At 40.8% G+C, this 21,384-nt stretch overlaps 1 long non-coding RNA gene across 1 annotated transcript; it reads left to right on the top strand.

The window, feature by feature from the left end:
• The first annotated feature begins 1,387 nt into the window (after window positions 1-1,387).
• On the top strand, window positions 1,388-14,306 carry LOC107984568 (uncharacterized). The gene is made up of 3 exons (XR_001750074.2): window positions 1,388-1,640; window positions 2,829-3,147; window positions 14,026-14,306. It is a non-coding gene; the product is annotated as an uncharacterized LOC107984568 (long non-coding RNA).
• Window positions 14,307-21,384: the final 7,078 nt, after the last annotated feature.

The raw sequence follows: 21,384 nt of genomic DNA, 5'->3' as shown, positions 1-21,384 counted from the left end.
TCACTTCAAAGCAAAGTGCCCCTTTTGAATATCCTTATTATGAATTGTTTATAGACCATTTCCAGCAATTGTGCTTCACTGGGCTCTTAGCTCTACAGCCGTGTACATAGTGAACACTCCAGCATGCCCTGAACATTTGTCTGTGCAACCCCAGGCTTTAACGAGATGAACGTTGCTGACCCAGAGCTGCTTTGTTCAGTTTCTTTACAAGAGCCAGAATCATTATAAACTCACCTGAACTGAGAGAGTCACTTGGCAGACTTCTGATGTTTGAACCTTACTAATGAAAGCAGTGATATATAGGGACAACTACCATTTAATTGTAGGAATTCACACTGAGAAAAGTGATTGCTTGCAACTCACATGTATTCACGTAGTTTATAATTCCCCCAAACAAGTCTCTGCCAGAGACGCTGCTGCACCATTTGCAGGGCAAGAACAGAAAAAGCACAAAAAAGTCTGTCCCACATGTGTGTCAAAGAAATGAGAACACACCATCTACTTTGCCAGTGATAGAGGGTCTGCTCTCCCCACTCTGGCATGCACACTGGAAGTGTCCCCCATCTGAGGAAGGACATGGTGGAGAATGAACTTAGGGAGTATTTGGGACAAAGTAAAATTTATTAAATGTTTGCTTATATTCTCCAGTATTGCAAAATGCAAAGAGAGGTAGAGTCTGTGACAAGTCTCCTCTCAAACAGATAGAAAAACCTTGAGTCACTCTTTGGAATAGCATTTTGGTAAAGAACAAACTCTTGCAGGGAATTGGGTTAATCAGGGAAATGATTAGAAGTTATTTTGGAGACAAGGCTGGTGAATAAGATTAATAATGCCACTGGCAGAGGGCATATTCTAGGCCAGAAATGAAATGTACAGGGGAGCAGGGATTGTTACTATGTTAGAGAGAGAGAGGGGGGAGAATGATTGAAAATGTGAAAGCATCAGATGAAGAGTAAACTCACTACACAATTCCATATTGGCTCTAAATTCAATGCTAAAAAGAAAACTGCCAAAAATATTTTGAGAAATGATGGTGATAGCAACAGGAGACAGACAAATTCCTAGGCAGACAGGGATGAGTCCCTGGTGAAACCTGATCTTCAAGCCAAGAACAGTTTAAAATCTGAAAACCAAGCTGCCAGTTCCAGATAGAGTCCATGACCAGAGTGAGAACTTCCATCCCCATCTTACCCTCTCTCTCTCTATTGATTCCTTCTGAATGATGCCTTTTAACCAATCGAATGGTGCTTTCCGAGACCACCCATGGGCCAATCAGCATGCACTCCCCCATTGTAAGCCCATAAAAACCCTGGACTCAGTCTCACAGAGGGCTACCCACTTCCAGGTCTCCTCTCACATCTGAGAGCTTTCTTTCTGTCACTCGATAAAATTCTACTCTGCCTTACTCACTCTCTGTTGTCTGTGTACCTTATTCCTTTTGGTTGCAGGACAAGAACCTGGAACTCACCAACCTGTGGGAGTGAAAGAGCTGTAATGCTTCCGTTTGCCAAGCTGCAGGCAGCAGGAATAAAAGAGCTGTAACCCTCTCTCCTGCTCAATGAACAACAGGAGAGAAGAAGCTGCTGGGTGCCACTCCCTCCTGCTTGCCAAACTACAGGAGTTAAAAAGCCCCAACAATGGTATCCTTGGAGTATATTTTAATTCTTCCAAGAGACTACTTGAAAAGGATGGCACTATTTAGATGTGTGGGTTCTTGGGATATTTGTTTAAATAATGAATCTTCATATGTCTATTATAGATCTAGATCTTCTGGAAATGAAGACTATCCAAATGAGAACACACAGGTCTACAGTAAGGGAGTCAGCTGCATCGCTTGTATTAATATTTAGCAGACTCATAGACAGGTGGAGGAGTGGGCATCCTCCATGGTAAAAAGAGAAGCTTCAGGTATGCCCTGATTGGAGGTCACTGGCATAGGCCATTCAGAGTCAGGCTAAATAGAAGTGGCGCATCTTATATGATTGTTTTGGGGGACCATATTTGACCTTCTCTGAGTAGTTCAGAGTTACAAGGGGAGGCAAAAAATAGTGAAGCTGACCACCATTGATCAAGTCCTTATTGTTCTGGGTCAATTGCTGCAGAGGTTGTGGGTATAAACCAAAAATAAAATTCTAAGGCCCCCCAGTCATCTGAGTGGACCTCCTCCTGAGTCAGTGCACTCTAAAATTTAACCTGAAAGACTGGTTCAGGCCATGAGGGGAAGGAGAGTCAGACTTGCCTCACTATATCCTCCAGCATCAACATCAACACAGACCTTAAGTCTGATAAGAAACCTTACAATCTATTATCTCTGAAGCCTGCTACCTGTAGGCTTCGTCTGCATAATAAAACCTTCATCTCCACAAACTCTTATGGTAACCCAGATATTTCTTTCTACTAATAATAACGCCTTCAACCAATTGCCAATCAGAAAATTTTAAAATCTACCTATAACCTGGAAGCCCCCACGACCTCCTTCAAGTTGCCCCACCTTTCTGGACCAAACCAGTGTATATCTTCAATGTATTTGATTGATGTCTTATGACTCCCTAAAATGTATAAAACCAAGCTGCACCCCGACCACCTTGGGCATATGTTCTTAGGACCTCCTGAGGGCTGTGTCACGGTCATGGTCACTCATATATGGCTCAGAATAAATCTTTTCAAATATCTTACAGAGTTTGACTCTTTTCATTGATGGGTCAGAGCCCTACAGGCATGTACGGGTTGACCATTGTCCATTTGTGTATTTTCCTGGGCTGGGACAGGTCCTCAAAATTGGTATTGGGTACCTGGAGATGTTTGCTTTTCTTAGCTCTTTTCATCAGTCCACCCATTCAGGCTCAAGGCACTGGGTGCCACATTAAAAGCCTCTGCAACGACACACTGTGATCTAGGGAGCTTCCCCAGGTCTCAACCTGACCTTCTGTTCTGACCATTTGCCTCATACTCTGACCATGTGGCTCCCGATCCTGAGCTGATTCTCTTGGGCTGCCTCCTGATTCTAGGCCTTGATTCTGATCATGAAAACTCATGGGAAACGACGTCTGGCAGATCATTCCACCCCACCTCTGACTATGCTCAGACTAGCCCTCCAGGACCTCATCCACTAGACTTCCCAGTGCATTCATCCAAGGAGAATATCAGGTAGGCCTATTTTATAAAGTTAGATGAAAACCAGAAGGCCATCTGGGCTATCACTTAAGACATTAAGACACAGCGCAAGCTTAAAAATCAAGTTTTTAAGTATGGAGTCCGTGGAGATAAAAGTTGGGAGTCCTACGCTCAAAGAGGGAAAGAAAATGAGCCAGAGACTAGGGGATCTATGGTATGCGGGCCTCCACACAATTGCCCTCTGGCTATGATATAATCAGAAACACCAAGTACATCTTTGGTCTTGTAGGTGAAAAATAATAACTCTATTAATTTTTCAGCTGGCCACCCAGCCAGCTTGTTACAAAACACAGATTAATAAGAGAAAAACAAGTTTATTAGCATGTATATTTTATATATACATAAGAGACACACAGGGAATGAGTCCATCCCAAAGAGACGGCTTTGAAGTACAGCTTATATAGCATCTTCAACAAAGAACAGTACATCTTTAGAGAAATGATAAAACAGAGGGAAAGGACTCTGAGTTTGTATGGGCTGGTGGCAATTTGGAGGAAGGGTTAGTTAGTAAAGCTTGTCTTCAGTGGTTAGCCTTTGTTTTCCATGGGAGAAGAGTGGGGAAGAGAGGGAAAAGAATACCTTTTTGTCTCTGTAAAAGTATTTTCCTGAGGGAAGAGAGCTTTCTTGTAATTGCTCTTTCTTAAATGCCATCAGCTCAGCAATCCTTCATATTTCGGGGTAGTGCATTCTGGTCTCTCACTGTCCATTTTTTCTAACACCAGCAAACTTAAATTTTTAAATTTTATGCAAATTTTCTAGTGGAAAGCCAGCCTGCCAAACCCAGGAGGAGGAATTCCCAAGGCTGGCCTCAGGAAGAAGGAATGTGGTTAGTGAGGCCACTCTGTTCTGGGGCCTGGCCAGCCTCACTGCACTGTGCGCTGGGATGTTGTATTGCTTTCCTGTGAAATGTCACATGGGTTTTTAAAATGCTATCACTTACAAGCCAGTCCCCATGCAGTCTAGGGCCCAGCTACTCTCAAGACTTGTTGACATTTTATTCCCCGTGATAAACTCTCCACTGGGTATGGAAAGCTAGTTTTGCTTTTCCTTTCAAAAGGAATAAACAGAACATGGAGAAAAGAAAAAGGAACTAAGCTTAGTGGGACCTCCTCATAGAGTATTTAATCGTCAGGATGCCTAGGGCCGGATGACTCCATTCTTTATGGGCGCTGAATTCCTGGTTTCCGCAGGAGTCACTTTACAACTGAATTTTGTCGCCTCTCTCTTTGCAAAAATCAAAGCACTCAATGGCTGTGCAATTACCAGCAATATTAATACCTATTCCAGGCTCTTCCTGACAGTTTACAGAGAGGGAGGGTGGACAAATCAGGCTTGCAAAGCTCCCTCCTCAGCAGTGGCTTCTGGACTATTGGTCCGCTGTAGGATAAGCATGACGAGGTATAAGGGGGCTAGATGAGACCACTGAAATTGGTAACTGGTTGCTTTTTTTAAAAACTTAAATAGAATTTGAATCAAATTGTCTAATAATGAAAGGAAACGTGAAGCAAAAATAGAATAAATGGGGAAATATAGCTCAGTATTTCACTGCTTTCATTAGCTAATATAATTCATTCATAAGCTCCATTGCTAAGTTTAAAGATTGCAAGTTGCTCTAAACACACACCAGTGGGGGAACGCTCTGGGCCATATGTCATGTGTCAGGAGCCCTGTCCTGAAAAAATTTCAGGGTCTCTGCTTGTGGCTCTAGGATGGGTGGAAGTGGGTTTCCAGGAGCCCCTCCTCCTTGCCTCCCTCTTATCTCCTGGGGCTCCCGATGCTGCAAAGGAAGGCAATAGGATACTTGGTTTTTTTCTTCAATATTTTAACCTATGTGGCTAGTGAGAAATCAGTGGATTGATATTTTAGCCTCACTCAGCTTTCCACTTTTTCATCCATCTTTCATCTTATGGTTTTAGCATCTATTGTTGACCTGTACCAGAATCAATGACTTCACTAGGGATTATAAAATGGTGATTCTTAATGATAGAATTAAGATTCTATCATTCCTTCTGTATTTATCAGATGGTGTTCTTCTGTAAAGAAGCATTTTCTTTAAAACAAAACAAAAAAACATCTTTCACATGTGTTCCTTTTGTGACTAGCAAATAACTGGGCTGATTCTTTAACACTTGCAACAAGTCATGGGAATAAAATGTGGAACATGCTACATATTCAAGTGCCTCTTCTATTACCTCCTCCCACCATTTTTTTAACCAAAGGCACAGTGCTATGTGCTTTAATTTTGTTATTATTTAATATCCATTCATCTAACACATACTTACTGAATGCCATGTGCCAGACAGTATTCCAGGTGCTTGGGATATAGCAGTGAACAGAAAGAAATCCCTACCCTCACTGGCTTTCATTCAAGAAGAGAAAGGCAGATAATAAACATAATAAATGAGTAAAATAAACATGTTATCTGGTGACAAGTGCTCTGGAGAAAAATGAAGCAGAAAAGGAGGAAAGGGGTTGGGGAAAGAGTTTGCAATTGTGAATAGTGTTGATAGGATCCCTGAGAAGGTGATATATGGGTAGAGGTCCTCAGAGCTCAGGATCTAAGCCATGCAAACACTTAGGGGAGAAGAGCTCGAGGCAGAAGGAATAGTATGTGTCAAGGCCCTGAGGCAGAACCATGAGCAGGGACCTGCCTGAGTAATAAGGCAGCCAACACGGCTGGAGGTAAAGAGGTCAGAGAAAAGGTCAGAGAGGATGGGGCTCCATATCCTGCTGGGTCTTGCTGGTGGACCACTGTCTGGATTTTAGCTTTTACTCAGAGTGACACAGGCAGCCATTCAAGGGTTCTGAGTAAAGGAGTGACATTACGTGACTCATATTTTATCAAGATCTTTTTAGCTGCCAATTATCCCAACTCTCAGAGAGAAGGCCGTTACTACCCTCTTTTTATACTAGAAGGAATGGGGACTCACAGAAAGTAATGTGATGTATTCCAGGTCACCATCTATGAGGGAGGGAAGCCGTGATTCAATCTAGGCCATGATATATCAGTTTATAAAGCAGAGCAGACTAACAGACCTTGCTATTAAGGAACGAAGTGGGGTTAGGGGTTGTCTGTGCTGACAGATGGCACAGCCCCGCAGCACACTTGCTCTCCATTTTCTTCCCTGTTTGGCAACAAATGCTAAGATGCTTAGCACTGGGCAAAAGCTATGCTATTAATCTTGTCTTTTCTCATTGAGGCTTCTCATCTTTCCAAAAGATGACATTTCTAGAATCGTAAGTGCAATAAACTTAAGGTCATAGAGCACAGCTCTTAAAAAGACAGTTTCATGAGCTGTAAAAAGTAATCATGGTTTGTCAAGTCAGCAGATCTCTCCCCTTCCGCCTTCTAACTGTCACTAATGCTTTTTGGAGAGAGCACAGTTTTGTTCTTTTACTTTTCAGAGTTGTTGAAGGGGGAGAACTATTTCTTTACACAGAGGGCCCTGCATGGCAGCTTTAACCACTTGAGACTGATAAGATAATTTTACTCAAGAGTTTTGTTTTTTTTGTTTGTTTTCCTGCCCTCTCTGTTGAGACAGGCCACCAGCTGACCAAATAATTGCAATAGCGGTTGGGAGATGGTAAATTCCACAGAATAATCCAAGGAAATTCCAGTTTTTCTAATAATTGAATGATAAGAATATTTATGTGATCTTTTCTGCATTGCACTGGTCTCTGTGAGGAAAATCAGGTGATAGCATAATTCATATGGAAATAATCAAGCTCCCTTTTCAAAAAAGAATGACACTTTGGGAGGCCAAGGCAGGAAGACTGCTTGAGTCCTAGAGTTCAAGACCAGCCTGAGCAAGGCCTGTCTCTACAAAACAACAAAAAATAAAGAAATTAGCCTAGTGTGGTGGTGCCCACCTGCAGTCCCAGCTACTTGGGAGAATGAGGCGGGAGGATCACTTGAACCCAGGAGTTCAAGCTATGATGACACCACTGCATTCAAGCCTGGGCAACAGAGTGAGACCCTGTCTCTAAACAAAAAAAAAAAAGAAGAAGAATGACATATAAGCAATGTCATATTTGAAAGTGTACTGGGAATATAAGCATACTTTTTGTACCCAAATTACATAAATCTGAACATTATTTGTACCTATTATTGAATCCTCAATGCTGAGTGTTTTGGCTGGAGTAGGAATCCTTTGTAAGTAGCAGAAGAGCCATGTTCTGTCATTTAGATGTAAGAAGACAATGTGGATCCCAGCTTCCTCCATTGCCAAAATACCCCTTTAGATGAGGGGTATTAACCACGTGGCCCATGCCAGTGTGGCCTGCTCGGTAGTCAGAGCCAAAACTGCAAAGCACCCTCACACGCAAGATCCCTTCTGAGCCTCATAACGAACCCATGGAGCGGCTATAATCTCCTCTTTCTTATAGACAGGGCAATAGGCTCAGAGAAGTCAGCAATTCATCTGAGGATGCTCAGCAAATAAGGGGTAGAGTTCAGGTTTTAACCCAGGCCTTCTGAGTCTAAAATCCAAGAGCTTTGGGTACCCCACACTGTTGGCATGGTGTTAGCTACAGCTCTGATTTAACAAAGCAAAATCCCCATCACCCTCTGGGATCCTTCTCAGGCATCCTTTGGTTGCTGAGGATGACTGAGCACCAGCTGTGCATTTGATGGGCTGTCCAAGCATTTAATATGCCTGGAAAAGAATCCAGGCTACACCCCACACTGGGGAGACTAGTAGTGAATTAAAAGTATCAGATGGACTCTAGCTAAGGAATGTAATAGGTTTGAGTCCTAATGACTTAGCCCATTATCCAGCAATAAAGGCTTTCTACCAAGCTATTTTCTTTCAACAGAGCTTTAGTCATTTTCATGAAATATTCTATGGGAATAAAAAAGTATTTATGGGAATAAAAAATGGTTTATTTCCCATTGCCTGTGATATTCTAGTCTTGGAAATTCATAGTGCACTTAGCATTTTTAAAACTCTGGAAATCCTGCAACAATAAACAAATAAACAAACAAAACTTTAATTTTGTGTAACACTCAATTTCCTAAACTTATGTGAGCACAGTCTGTGTTTGCCCGTGTAGTCTCTTCTAATGTCTTGAAAAATTCTCATTTTGGAACATGCTTTGGAAACTCTACAGGAGACTCTCTAGAATAGAAGCACCTTTGGAACAGAACTTTCTGTCTCTTGTTTATTGCTGAGTGCTCACCATTAGAACAGTGCCTTCCATATAGAAGCCTGCCATTAAAAAGTATTCAAATGAATATATAGATCTTTCTCCTTCATTTTAGCCCTAGTCTTCTACTGTTATAGAAAAACTCCTCAAATTAAAGTATTCTATAATTAATCATTTAACATCAACTGAACAAAGCCCATCCTGGTGGAAACATTTATGCCAAAACTTTCAAATCAAATAACTAATTTTTTTCTATATTGCTCGTAATATTGATGAGTCAAGGTAATAGTTTTTTAGCTAACAATCAGACACAAATACTAAACTAAGTATTTTTCACATGGTAAGTCTACAAGACACCCAAACTTTTGGGAAAAAAAGTGAAAACTTTGATCACTCTGATACCCTGCACACATGCCAATAATCTTTATATTGAAAACAGCTGCTTGGCTGGCAATTTTTCACGCGCCTTCCAACTGTTGGGTACAGGGAAGGCTCCATTGCAGCAAAAGGAAAATGGTAATAAGTTTCCCCTTCCTTGAACAGGTGTTGTGAGAATTTAGAGTGTTTTCAAAGAAAACATCACAGACTACACAGTACCAAAATCTGCTTGACCCAATATCATCAGCAAGGAGTATTTTAAAAATGACATTCTAGAATTTTATTGTAAATCAGGCCTTGGAAATTGTTCAGCAGAGTCCGTTCATTAGATAAATGGGCAAAAAACTCAAAGTAATTGAGTGACTTTTCCAGAATTATATAGCTTGCATTGAAGGGCTGGGACTACATTCAAATCCTCTAAGTTCCAAGAAGTTTTCACCAGGTCACCAGTGCCTTTTCTCACCACAGGGGCTTTCTGAGAGTTGTACATGGCCCCCAGGTATCAGGAAAGTGCTTGGGATGAGAATCTCAGAAGTGGGAGGATCCTAGAGACTTGGTGATCTCATCTACTTATTTCCCAGATGAGAAAATGCAGAGATCAAGCTAGAGTAATTACTCAGTGAATTTAGGATTTTTCAGAGCAGCGCCTTCTAATAGAACTTTCTGCAATGGTGAAAATGTCTAATACGGTAGCTTTGAAGCACTAGTGCAACTGAAGAACTGAATTTTCAACTTTAATTTAAATTAAAGTTAACTTAAATCAAAGTAGTCACTTGTGGCTAGTGACCACCATATTGGATAGCACAGCTCTAGAGAGCTAATCTAGTTATACCATTAACTGGCCTTGTTGTACTAACCCTCTGTTAGGATTTGGGCATGACAAAACTACCAAAATATACCACTTGTTACAACATTGCAGTATGTATGTTTTACAAATACCAGGAGTTCAATATAACAAAGCAAAGAGAAAAATCATCTGCATTTGTGATTAAATGAGTAACGGTAAATCCAACATTAAGAGTCAAGCCATCACAAATAGTTATTTTGCTCCTACTAAATCTATGATTTCTGTAATCCTGGTAAAGAAGTAAAAATATGGAAATGTGTAGTAGCTATATTTAACCCTCTTGCATCTTTTTATTTTTTAGCTATTCGGATGATCTATAAAATGAATACTGGTTATCTATTCCAAATATAACCTCTAAGTAATTAGTCAAGGCCAATCTTTCACCCTTTTGGCAGTGAAATAATCCTTTGTAGAGACATACACTAAGTTAATCACCTCATTAAATCCTAGGCCAGGCAGTTTTGCTTTCTTTAGCTATATGTTGCCTTAGAAGCTAACTAAAACATCTTCACTTGCCCACCAGTGAGCTGTGTCCTGTATTCAATTAGTTTCAGCAAATTATTAGAAAAAGAGGAGCATTGTTGAACCAAGAGCTGCATGCAATATTTAGATTTACAAACTAATACAGTATAAAGGCTCCCTAAGAAGTTCACATGCCTCTGTCTAAAAGACCGGCTCCTTCAAACGATACCATTGATTCCTGACATCAGACAGTCTGTCATAGAGAAGTCAGGCAGTGGACATTCTGAAAACTAATTCAAAGCGGGGCACTTGCTCCATGGCATGTTTCTCCTTAATGGGCTCAAAAGGCCAATGTTCTCTCAGACAATTAGGCCTTCTCATCCTGGCGAAATCTGGCCTTCAAGACTTGTTTTTCAATGTCTATCTTCCAAGACAAAACAAAGTTTTAACCAGACAAAATCTGCCAATGTGACTATTTCCCCCCTTCTGGGGCGACTGAATCACCTTTTTAAAAAATGTCTTGGATGTCCTTTTGCACAAGCCAAGAAAGGCCTACCCATAGGATGCTCTGTTTGCATTTGTAGCAAGAGAAAGTCAGTGTAGTTTGAAATTGGAAGTTCAAGATCTATTAAAATAGATCATTCTACCAAAAAGACATATGCACTCGTATATTCATTGCCATGCTATTCACAATAGCAAAGACATGGAATCAACCTAGTTGCCCATCAGTGGTGGATTGACTAAAGCAATTGCGGTACACATATTCCATGGAATACTATGCAACCATAAAAAAAGAATGAAATCATGTTCTTTGCAGCAACATGGATGGAGTTGGAGGCCATAATCCTAAGTGAATTAATGCAGGAACAGAAAACCAATACCCCAGTTCTCACTTATAGGAGAGAGCGCAACATTGAGCACCCACAGACATAAACATGGGAACAATAGACACTATGGACTACTAGAGGGAGGAGGAATTGAGGGTGGTATGGGTAGAAAAAGTACCTACTGGGTACTATGCTGACTACCTGAGCGCAATATACCCGTCTAAGAAAACTGCACATGTATCCACTGTATCTAAAGTAAAAGTTGGAAAAAAAGATTTGGGGGTGAAAATGAAAAAGATGTGTTCTATTACGGAATTTTGTTTAAGACTCTTTGCTTAATAACGGAGAGGTTAAAAGCAGGGAACCAAAAAGAAGCTGCAGACTTTATCTCTGAGAATCTGTGGTGAGAACTGTCTCAGAAAGTACTCTAACCACAGAGAAGATGAGGAGACCAGATGAGTCTCACGGGCCCATGAACACTGAAGTGCTTATGAACATTTTTGGGACACACATGAAAGAGGCAAAAGCAAGTTGTAATGTAGCTAAAAGTTGAGGCACTCATTTATTTAAAAGAGAGGGGAAAATCATACAGAAATCATTTTTAAAAACCTTTGTCACTTTTTGAACCTTTTTTGGCTCAAAATCAAGATTCCTAATATTAAAGTAAATAGTGATTTGTTTTTGGTGGGAGCTGTATTTTGAATCAGTAGATTAATACAGAGATCCTAAAACCAGCATGTCCAATCATGTGGTCCCAACCTCAAGGTGTTCAAGCTGGGAGTATTATTTTTCCCAATCAAGCAACAGAGAAGATACACATTTGAGTATTTTACTGACTTGTGAATACAGATTGTTACTTCTAACAATCAGGCAGAAAATTGTATCTTGGTTCAATGTAATGCCACATGGTATATAATGACAAGCTGCTTTGAAATGTAATTACTTTTATAGAAATAAAACCCTTTCACATTTTGTTTTGTTGACAAATAGACCAGGCAGCCGCCAAAGAAGTGTCGATGGAACACTTTTCTCAGAAGCATATGCTTCACTTTAGCCAAGAAAGAAGAAAACACTTGATCAACATGTATGTGTGTATCCTGAGACGCTTAATCAGAAAGATACACAGATCTTTCTTTTCCATAATCATGAGACCTGAGATTTTTCTCGAGGGAAGTGTTCCAACATGAGAAAGAAAATACATAGTTCAAAAAGCCCGTGTGTTCAATTTGCTGCCACATGGTTTAAATTATCTATGTATTTATTAAGGGCGCTAAATAGGCAGCTTAATTTAGGGAGAGGGGTCATTTAAGTTGAGAAAAATCATGTTTAATCCCTCAACTCACTACAGGTTGATTGTGCTTTTTAAACGCATATAGCCTCAGCTAACAAAATTCCCCATGATAAGAAGTTCCCCTGTCTGCTTCTAAATTTGTCAGCTGCCAATAACAATGGAAACTTGTTAAGCTCCTGGCTTCAGGCCCAGCTGCTCTGGGCGTCTTCCAGAATTAGAGATTTGTCAGTTACTTTCTCTTTATGTTGCCAGTGTGCTTGCCTGCAATTTGGGGGTCAGCTCTCTGTTCCTGGCATATCATGTGTTTGTTACATTACTATAGAGTGGAAACCAAAGGGCCAGGGTATCAGAGCTTCTTTGCTTGTATAAGTCTGCTTTGGTTTTTTTCTCTGGATGGGCGTAAAGCAGGTCTGAAGGGAACCATGAGGAAGACATGATTAGATGTAAAAGGCTGGAAATTTGAACATTTACTGGCTATTTGATGGCAAGACAGAATTCTAACTTTCTAAGCTTCAGAATGGATAGTTATGTTTCTATAAAGAGTCCTTATTTTTTAAAAATACAATATGAAACATTTTAGATAAAATTACATATTATCTGTAATTTGTTTCCAAATAATATGGGAGTGAGACAGTGGGTCCAGATGAAGTAAGATTGGCTGTGAGTTGATCATTGTTGAAGGTGATTGGTGGGTACACAGGGATACATTCAACTACTACGCATATTTTTGTATTCATAGTTGATATTTTCCAAGATACAATTTTTTTTTAACTGGAAGAAAAAAAGTGCCTGAGAAGAATGCAAGATCCCTTAATAGCCCTCTCTGGACTATCAACAAATCTTAGGGAAATAGGGTAAGAGTTTGAGAATCTTTTAGAAACATGGCTTTCCATTTTTTGCCAGCATTTATGAAAGAGTATTTGATAGTGCCCCCATGCTTTGCCCCGTGTCTTCTACCACACTATTTTTATTATATGGTTCTCAGGCTGAGAACCTGAGACCCATGGACTGTGAAACTCTTCTCCAGATGTCTTAGAGCATGCTTAGGGTTTAATCCGCCCACCTCCTTGGGTCTTTGACTTGTACATGGCTTCTTAAGTCCCATTTTCACTGGGCCAAAATGCCCTGAATTATTTCTTTATGGCCTCCAGCCCCAGTGGATTCTCTGTGTGAGTCTGGCTCAAGATGTACACATGCATATCTTCAATGTCCACCTATTTTTATTTTCATCTGAGCCTGTATAGCCAGACAATGGAAGGAAGTGTTTCTCTTGGTGACCCACAGTAGCCTTCCTTCCTCCCGGCCCATTGCGGTGGCTGTGGTTGTCTCATTCCCTTCTGTGTGCTAAAATCAGCCCCACTCAGAACCTCCCCAGACTCTGGTCTGTGCCTTTTACTTGCCTTGTGTGGTTATTTTGATTGCTATAGCAAGAACCCTATTTGTAAGCAGGCTGAGCAGTGTCAAGCATAGATGACCTGGGCGACAGCCCCAGGCACTTGCCTCTTGGTGCCTTGTGTCTAATTCAGAGGCATGAGGTGCTCTGCCTTATTTATGGCAGCATGTGAGGGTTCCATCTTGGAGAGCAGATGTTAGCCTTCATCTAAGATAGTGGACATCTTGGGCTTTTGATATTGGCATCAAAGCTCCTACAAAGTGCTCTGGGACCCATTGCAATATAGTCTTCCTTGGACCACTCTAAGCAGAGGTTCTTGAGAGAGAAAGAAGACAAACATGTTATGAGAATAAATCATCATTAAGGACAAAGAGACTGAAAAAGCAGAACAATCTTGAGCAAAGGATGAGGACACCAGTCATCTCTTTCTGCACCAGCATCTCTAGTGCCCAAGAACTTCTGGCACATGGTATTACACTTTATCTTTATCTTTATCTTTATTTTTAAGGGAAGGGAGAGGTCAAGCATGAGAAAGACTGATGTGGAAGTAAAGAAACCTGAATTCTTGACCCCGCCCTGCTACTAGCCAGCCTTCTGATATCAGGTACACTTTTATTTCATGTATTTATCAAGCATCCAGTACCTAGCCAAGCATAGTACTGGCACTTCAGGAACAACACAGATGAATAAGAAATAGGATCTGTTTTTAAGAAGCCCATGGGGAAGCAGACCCATACATAAAATCTAAGCCACAAAATATTGTAGGATCTACTATGTAGGGTGCTTGAGGGTAGGTCCCAGGGGTCTCCAAGAAATGCATGATTGATGGTAACTGGTTTGCGGAGGAAAGGATTGGCATAGGCTCACCTCAGTCTTCCTGTTACCATAACAAAGGCAGACTGCAGTATCTATAGCATCATTCTTCTAGAACTGTAAGTATCTCTGAATTTATGTAATTGGGGAACCACAGCACAGAAATGATGGGTATTTTCCCATAGTCCTATGAAGATTTTGTGGCAAGGCCAAGGCTGGGACAGAAGTATTGGGACTCCTGAAACAGTGCTCCTTCCATCAGCACTAATTCAGTCTCGGTGCTGAGTTGCCTTACAAAGTTAATTAATTCAAACACGTCTGCTTATTTTATCCAAAACAGAACTTGAAATATCCACAGTGGTTCTCAGCTTGAACCTAATTTTGAACAAAGAGAAAGAACTGTTCTGCAAACCCTCTCCATTTTTCTCACAGCACATGATGAGCACTGGGGCTCTTTGCAGAAGTCCCTTATGGTAAAAACAAAACAAAACATAGTGCTCACTCCAATAAACTTGCAGTCAACCCTAGCCCAGAAGCAAAATCCCGTGCAGAGAATACAATCCCTTGTTCCTCACAAATCTAAAAGGGAAAGAGATTTGTGAGTAGAGCTTTCAGCTATGCGAATAGACCATTGTTCATCAGGCATCTCATTGTAAATTCTACTTTAAAACTTGTTTGTTTCCACTGAACCCCTGAATTTTTTACTTGTGTACCTATTTGTAACAAAAAGGAGAATTCCAAAAGCACAAAGGAAATGTAGAGGATGAGAAAGAGAGAGGGAGAGGGGAAGTGAGGTGGGGGGCGGGAATTGAACTGTGGAGTTCAAATGAACCTGTAGCTAGTGACATCTGCACTTATCTAACTCGGGTTTGGCCACACCCTATAAAAATGCACATTGAAGAGTTTAATGAACATTGGTTCCTTGTCAGATTAGCAAACTTTTCACTATCTGACTGTAATGTTTCCAATGCTTACATCTCAGAGGCTCAACGTTGAGGGAGACAGAAATCATAGGAAAAAAGAGCAATTACACAGTGTCTCAGTTGCTCACCCTCTGGGTTCCAAGAACTCAGCTAGAAGCTGAGGCAGATCCATTCATTGTGCTCCCAGATCTCTTCTCCCGGTTTTAGTTGAGCCCATGGCTGTCCAGGTAACTACTTCATTTTCTATCAGCTCTGTAGCTAGATAAAACCAATGACTAGATTCTGACCAATGAGATGTGACCTGCAATGATGTACTCCACTTGTGGGTCTTGCCCTTCAAACAATTGGGCATACATTCTCCAGATCATTTATCCCTTCCCAGTGTCTGTAAAACAGCAAGAACAAGCATTGTCACTTTGGATACAGAAATGGAAGCCATTTGTTGAGGATGTCAGTAGTGCCTCCCCATCAGCTCTGAACCATTCACACCTGAGTGGTAAAGTGAGAAAGAAAAAAGTTTCCAACTTATTTAAGCCACTATACCCTAGGGTCTCTTTGTTATAGCAGCTTACTTCAACCCAAACTAACTACCCCCATGGTGTGGGGTCAGAGTCTGGCCAAAAGATGCATTCATGCTTTTCTAGTGACATAGACTCACCCTTTCTCTTTGTCATTGACAGTGGGAAAAGCAGAGCTAAGCCAACTTTCAATACCACATGTAGTATTCATTTCTAGATGTCTGTCCTAAGGAATGTTGAAATTAGAAAAAAAATCATGGTATTATTTATAAAACTAAAAATTGGACTCAATCAACTTGACTAATAGTGGGATAATAAATTATAATATGGGCTATCTATTTACATTTTATATTATTCCACAGAAGAATTAAAGTGTGCCCATTGGGGGAAAAATCATGTTTCTGGAGAGAGAGAGAGAGTGTGTGTCTGCATGCTCCCCACTGGCTTTATTTAGTTTGCAACCAGATGACTCTTTTATTTAAAAGTCTTTTGGCCTTTGTTGTTTTGATCACAGCCAGGCACCATTATTTAATGGTGTACATTTGAAACCATGACTCTCAGTTCATTGACAATGTCAGTAAGATGACAGATAAAAATAAGAAGGCCCACTGGGGCTATTGCATGAATACTGATAAAAAATGTAGAATCATAATCCCTACAGCTAAATTTCCCCACTAAATCATAATAGATTATAATTTTTTGATTTGCTAGTTTTCTAAGTATTTAAAAACTATCTTTAGTTCCAGACTTTAACCACATGATGTTTAGAGTAATCCACCCTGTTGCTTGTCTACTTCTTGCACTGAATAGATTTCTCCTATTTTTTTGAAAATTTCAAATTTTTAAAAAAACTTTTTATTTTGAAAATTTCAAACCTACCAAGAAGCTGAAATAATATAATGTACCCTTTTCACCTAGTCTTATTAATTGTTAAAATCTTACAAATCTGCTTTATCTCATTCTTTCTATCTTTCTCTGCTGAATCATTTGAAAGTAATTTTCAGGCATCATGTTTAATAAAATGAAAATGATCACAGTATAACATCAATTGAGAAAAAATGGTTATCTATGAAAATGCTAATTATAATCATTTCTGAATGGTAAGACTGGGTGATTTTTCCCCGTGTGTTCCAAAGTTTCTAGAAAAAAAGCTTGAAACTTATATTTCACTGAACCAATAATTCTATTTGGAAGTTTGATTAAAATTTGCTACCATTATATCTGTTGCAATTATTTCCATTTTGTGAACACAGATAGTACTACATATAGTGGCAGAAGTACAATGAATATTATTAAATCACGAGGATGGTAGTATTTTTACACCAACCAAAACATGACAATTTGTATCTCTTCCATCTAACTAAATAGATATTCCCATTGTCTTTCAAACATGCCTCAATAGGCCCTTTGGGGCTCATGGTGGCCCCTCTTGAAATGATTCACCCACCTTCTCTCTAACACCCTCGCTACTTAGTTTTGTGTAAGACCAATATTATCTGCAAGGAAGCTATAATTGATTTTGCTCAAGATGAAGTCATGTGCCACATGCTTTTCCCACAATTATAGGAAAGTCTTTCTCTAAAAAAGTCTGTTCACTTGGTATTTTGGTGCACAGAGAGTTTCTCTAATAAAATGTTTCCTTAATGCTGACTGCATATCAGAATCACCATCTCAAATATGTAGTGGTCTCATCCCAGACCTGCAAAGGCACTGTGTGTGTGTGTGTGTGTGTGTGTGTGTGTGTGTGTGTGTGAGAGAGAGAGAGAGAGAGAGAGAGAGAGAGAGAGAGGGAGTTGTATTTGTTTGTTTTAGAGAGAGACTATTTATTCTTATAAAGCTCCCCACGATGCTGACGTATACACAAGTTTGAGAACCACTATCCTAGACACACACTTGTCTTCTCCTTTCAAGACTGAATATCAGAAAGTATTCAATAAAGATTTGCAAAATGAATGAGTAGATGAATGCCAGTTCTCAGGACATCTGAACCTTTCCTAATCACTAATGTTGACTATGCAGAACTACAAAAGTGTTGCTTAAGTCACCTTAAGTCTAAACCAGTAGTTTTTTACTTCAGTATGCCCAAGAATCACTTTCAGGGCTTTTAAAAAAATACATATCCCTGGGCCCATCTGCAGAGGGTCATATTGAGTAGGTTTAGAGTAGGGACCAGGAATCTGCATTTTTATTAGCACTCTAAATGTCTCCTGCAATGACATTTTTTGAAAAACACCACATTCAAATCATGGGTAGAAGATGCTGTAGCACAGTTTGAAACAAGTCCTACTATCCAATCCAAATAGATCACTGGCATTCATAGATGTGGTCACATTACTAGTTAACATTTCGTCTAAAATTTTATCGAGAGTAAAGAGCCTGGGATGCTGGCTCAATTGATGCTCTGACTGGTACTGTGGAGTTCCAGTGGCCATTTATGCCTCCATCCCTTACTATCTGGTGCCTGTCCCTGGGGCTGTCTTCAAGTCAGGTGACATCAAAAAGAATGGAGGTCAAATCAGGTAGTTCTAGCCAGAACATTTTAGTGAAAAGAAATAATTACAAAATCATTTTTCTTTTATAAGGTATACATGGATTCCTGCCCCATCCCCAAAGTAGAATAAAGATAGGAAAATACTGATGCAATGTGGTGTGAGATTATTATGGGTCAAAATGACTAATGCTGGATCAAAAATCAGAACAGGAAGGAGACAGGAATTTCAAAAATGAGCAACTCCAAAATAATAGGAATGAAAAAAATAAAAGTTAGTGTCACAGGTCAAATGTTTAGATCCCACATTGTCACTCCATTCTGGTTTTCTTTAACACCCCTGCTTGAACATTTTTACAAATTTCTCAGACAGGATCATAGTCTTGCTTTTTGTTTCTTGGTGTCTACTGGTGTGAAAGACAGCTTTTCCATGTTGTAAGAAAACAAGCTGCTCAATCTGATTTCAGGTCTTGTCTGACACCATATCGCAGACCACACACAAGGGGCTGGTGGTGTCAGCACTCTGCAGAAAACTTGTCATCATGTCCTCAAGTGTTGTGCACAGGGTTATTCCATAGGAGTCGGGAAAAGCCTGACAGCCATCTGAACCAAGGACTAAGGACCCCAAGGGCAGCATAGCCATGGCCAAATGTGAGCCCCAAGTGCCCCACATTGGCATGAGGACCCTCTTAAAAGGTGAGGGAACTTCTTCACAAGGATCAAAGCAGTAACACTTCTAGGAGACATTCACAGTTTTCCATGTTGGCTGAATCTCTCATTGTATCTTATGCACTAGCCAACTTGTGCCTCGAAGCTGAAGTGACGTCACGGAAAAGAACCCTCCCCAACCAAAATTGCTGAGATTGGCACCATGATTTGTAACCCAGAAGGAAAAAGCCACAGTCTCTTTCACTGTCTCTTTCGTTTGTTAGCCTGCCTGCCCACCATCCCTCCCACCCCCGGGCCTGGGGGTCACTCTGTAGTAGGCAGCCTGAAGGGGGGTGTCCTCTGTCACTCCCTCTACTTTCCTCTCTTAACAGTGAGCCCTTCCTCCCACACACACCACAAAGCCAAAAGAAAGGGATTAAAGCTGATGACACACAAGGCGGATGTGTGACCAGCTCAGGTTCTAGGGCCAGACAGCCCTGGATTCCAGTTCCACTGGGTCACTCACCACAGTGTGACCTCAAACTGGTTATTTCAACCCCCTGAACCTCAGTTTTTTCATCAACTTTGATGTTTAAATGAGGCAACACATTCAAGGCATTTAGCATGGATCTAGCAAGCTCTCCACCCCAACATCTCAGTCAAAGGGAGGCAACTAACAATCGCAGGGGTAGCAGTGACAATGGAGGCTGAGAAAAGCTTTCATCCTGTGGTCTCTCAGGCTTGCCACAAGAAAAAGAACACAGAAAATTCTTATTACCTGGAGATGTACATCCATCCACTACTTGGTAAGCAGGAGTCTAGCTATTTATAGACCTGACAGGCCTACAGAACAAATCCCTGATTGATTTGTAGCGCCTTGTTCTCATCCAAACTCTTCCACTGCAACGATGCTTCTCTGAAGAATAAACCGTCATTTGGTTTATGACATTGTCTATGTAGCCACTCATTAAAGGAAGCAAAGACCAGCCAACAATCCTGGATTCTCTTTCAAGGCCTCGTGAGTCTCCTCTGCCCTCTGGCTGGCTGAGGAGTCACCAATGACATCAGCCAGATGGCTGACACCACACATAACCCCCAGGCTGCTAAAGTTTAAAGGGTCCCTGCTTTCTCCTCCTTGGCTGTAGATGGAAAATTGGAGTCTCTGGGGGTGGGGAGTTTGAGGGAGAATCCAGCCAAGAAAGGGAGTCGGCAGAGAGAGGAGGGAGTAGTGCCAGCTATTCATGTTTCTGCGACTCGCCACGCACAGTATGGGCATTGTTTGAAATCACACAGACATTGTCCTATCCAGCCCTCAATCATATTAGCTGCCCAGCCATTTTTCCACATTAATCATTCAAACTGACATGAGTAAATAATACCACATGTGGTCGTGATGACAGTTGTCTCCATAATGTATTCATCTCAAGGTACTCATGGTTTTTACTAAAATAAAAGTGCAAGTGAATGACTTTAGAAAAATCTGCAGTCAGGATAGCAGCAGCTATCTTTATGAGGAGCGGTATAAACACTCAAATACATGCTGAAGAGGTTGAGGACAGTCAAGAGTGGTGAATTGCACTCTTAGCACTGGGAGGCCTTACGATTTTGGAGAGACATAGAAACAAATTAGTAACACTCAGTCCCCATTTCACATGCACAAGTACAGAACCACTCCCAACCCGCTCTGTCCCTTGCATTTTTTGCACAGGACTCAAGCAATCTTTGTTGAAACTGACATGATCCTTTGGACAAGCATATCCTGCCTTCCCATCTTCGCTTCTGCTTTCCTCAAATATTGAACACTTGGTTTATGCCTAGTTTTGTGCTGGATGCAGGAAATGCCGAGAAGAAAGACATAGCTCTGGCCCTGGCAGAGCTAGAGCATTGTAGGGGCTGGGACAGGAGGGAAGGAGGATGTACAAACAAACAATGACCATCCAGTGAAACATGTACATTAGTTTCAAATCCCAGGTGAACATTGTGTAGAAAGAATTGAAAAAATTTAGCCATCCTTATGGGGCATAGTGCCTGTTGATTCGAGCTTGATAAAATAAGGCCAAAATAATTCTTCCCAGTGGATCTTTAGGGATTTGGTTGAGGAAAAGCTTAGGAAAGTGTTCTCAAACATGACTATGAGAATCACTTGGGAGCACTTTTACAACTCTACCCCAGACCTGCTGAATCAACATTCCATCGGAGATATCAGAAATCTGTTTTGTAAGAGCTAGAGAACTTGTCCTGAAACCAGCCTGCTGAGCAAGTAACTATACTGGCTTTACTGAGACTATCAACTAATCTGTAAGAGTTGACTGAGATAGGAGTGAGCTGAAGCTCAGCCAAGTTCCCCTGAGTCACTGCCACTGTCACAGAAGAAAAAATTTTGAAGCATTCACACTGTGGTGAGAATTGTTAATGTTTGTTCCCTCAAAGGGCAATGTGTGAAAGAGGAAGAGATCTGCCATCTGCAGTGATAGACA

This window comes from Homo sapiens, chromosome 13 (genome assembly GCF_000001405.40).
Source record: "Homo sapiens chromosome 13, GRCh38.p14 Primary Assembly".
In the NCBI taxonomy this organism is placed as follows: Eukaryota; Metazoa; Chordata; class Mammalia; order Primates; family Hominidae; genus Homo; species Homo sapiens.
The sequence above is the reverse complement of the archived record's forward strand: the minus strand, read 5'-3'. Positions and strand labels throughout refer to the sequence as shown.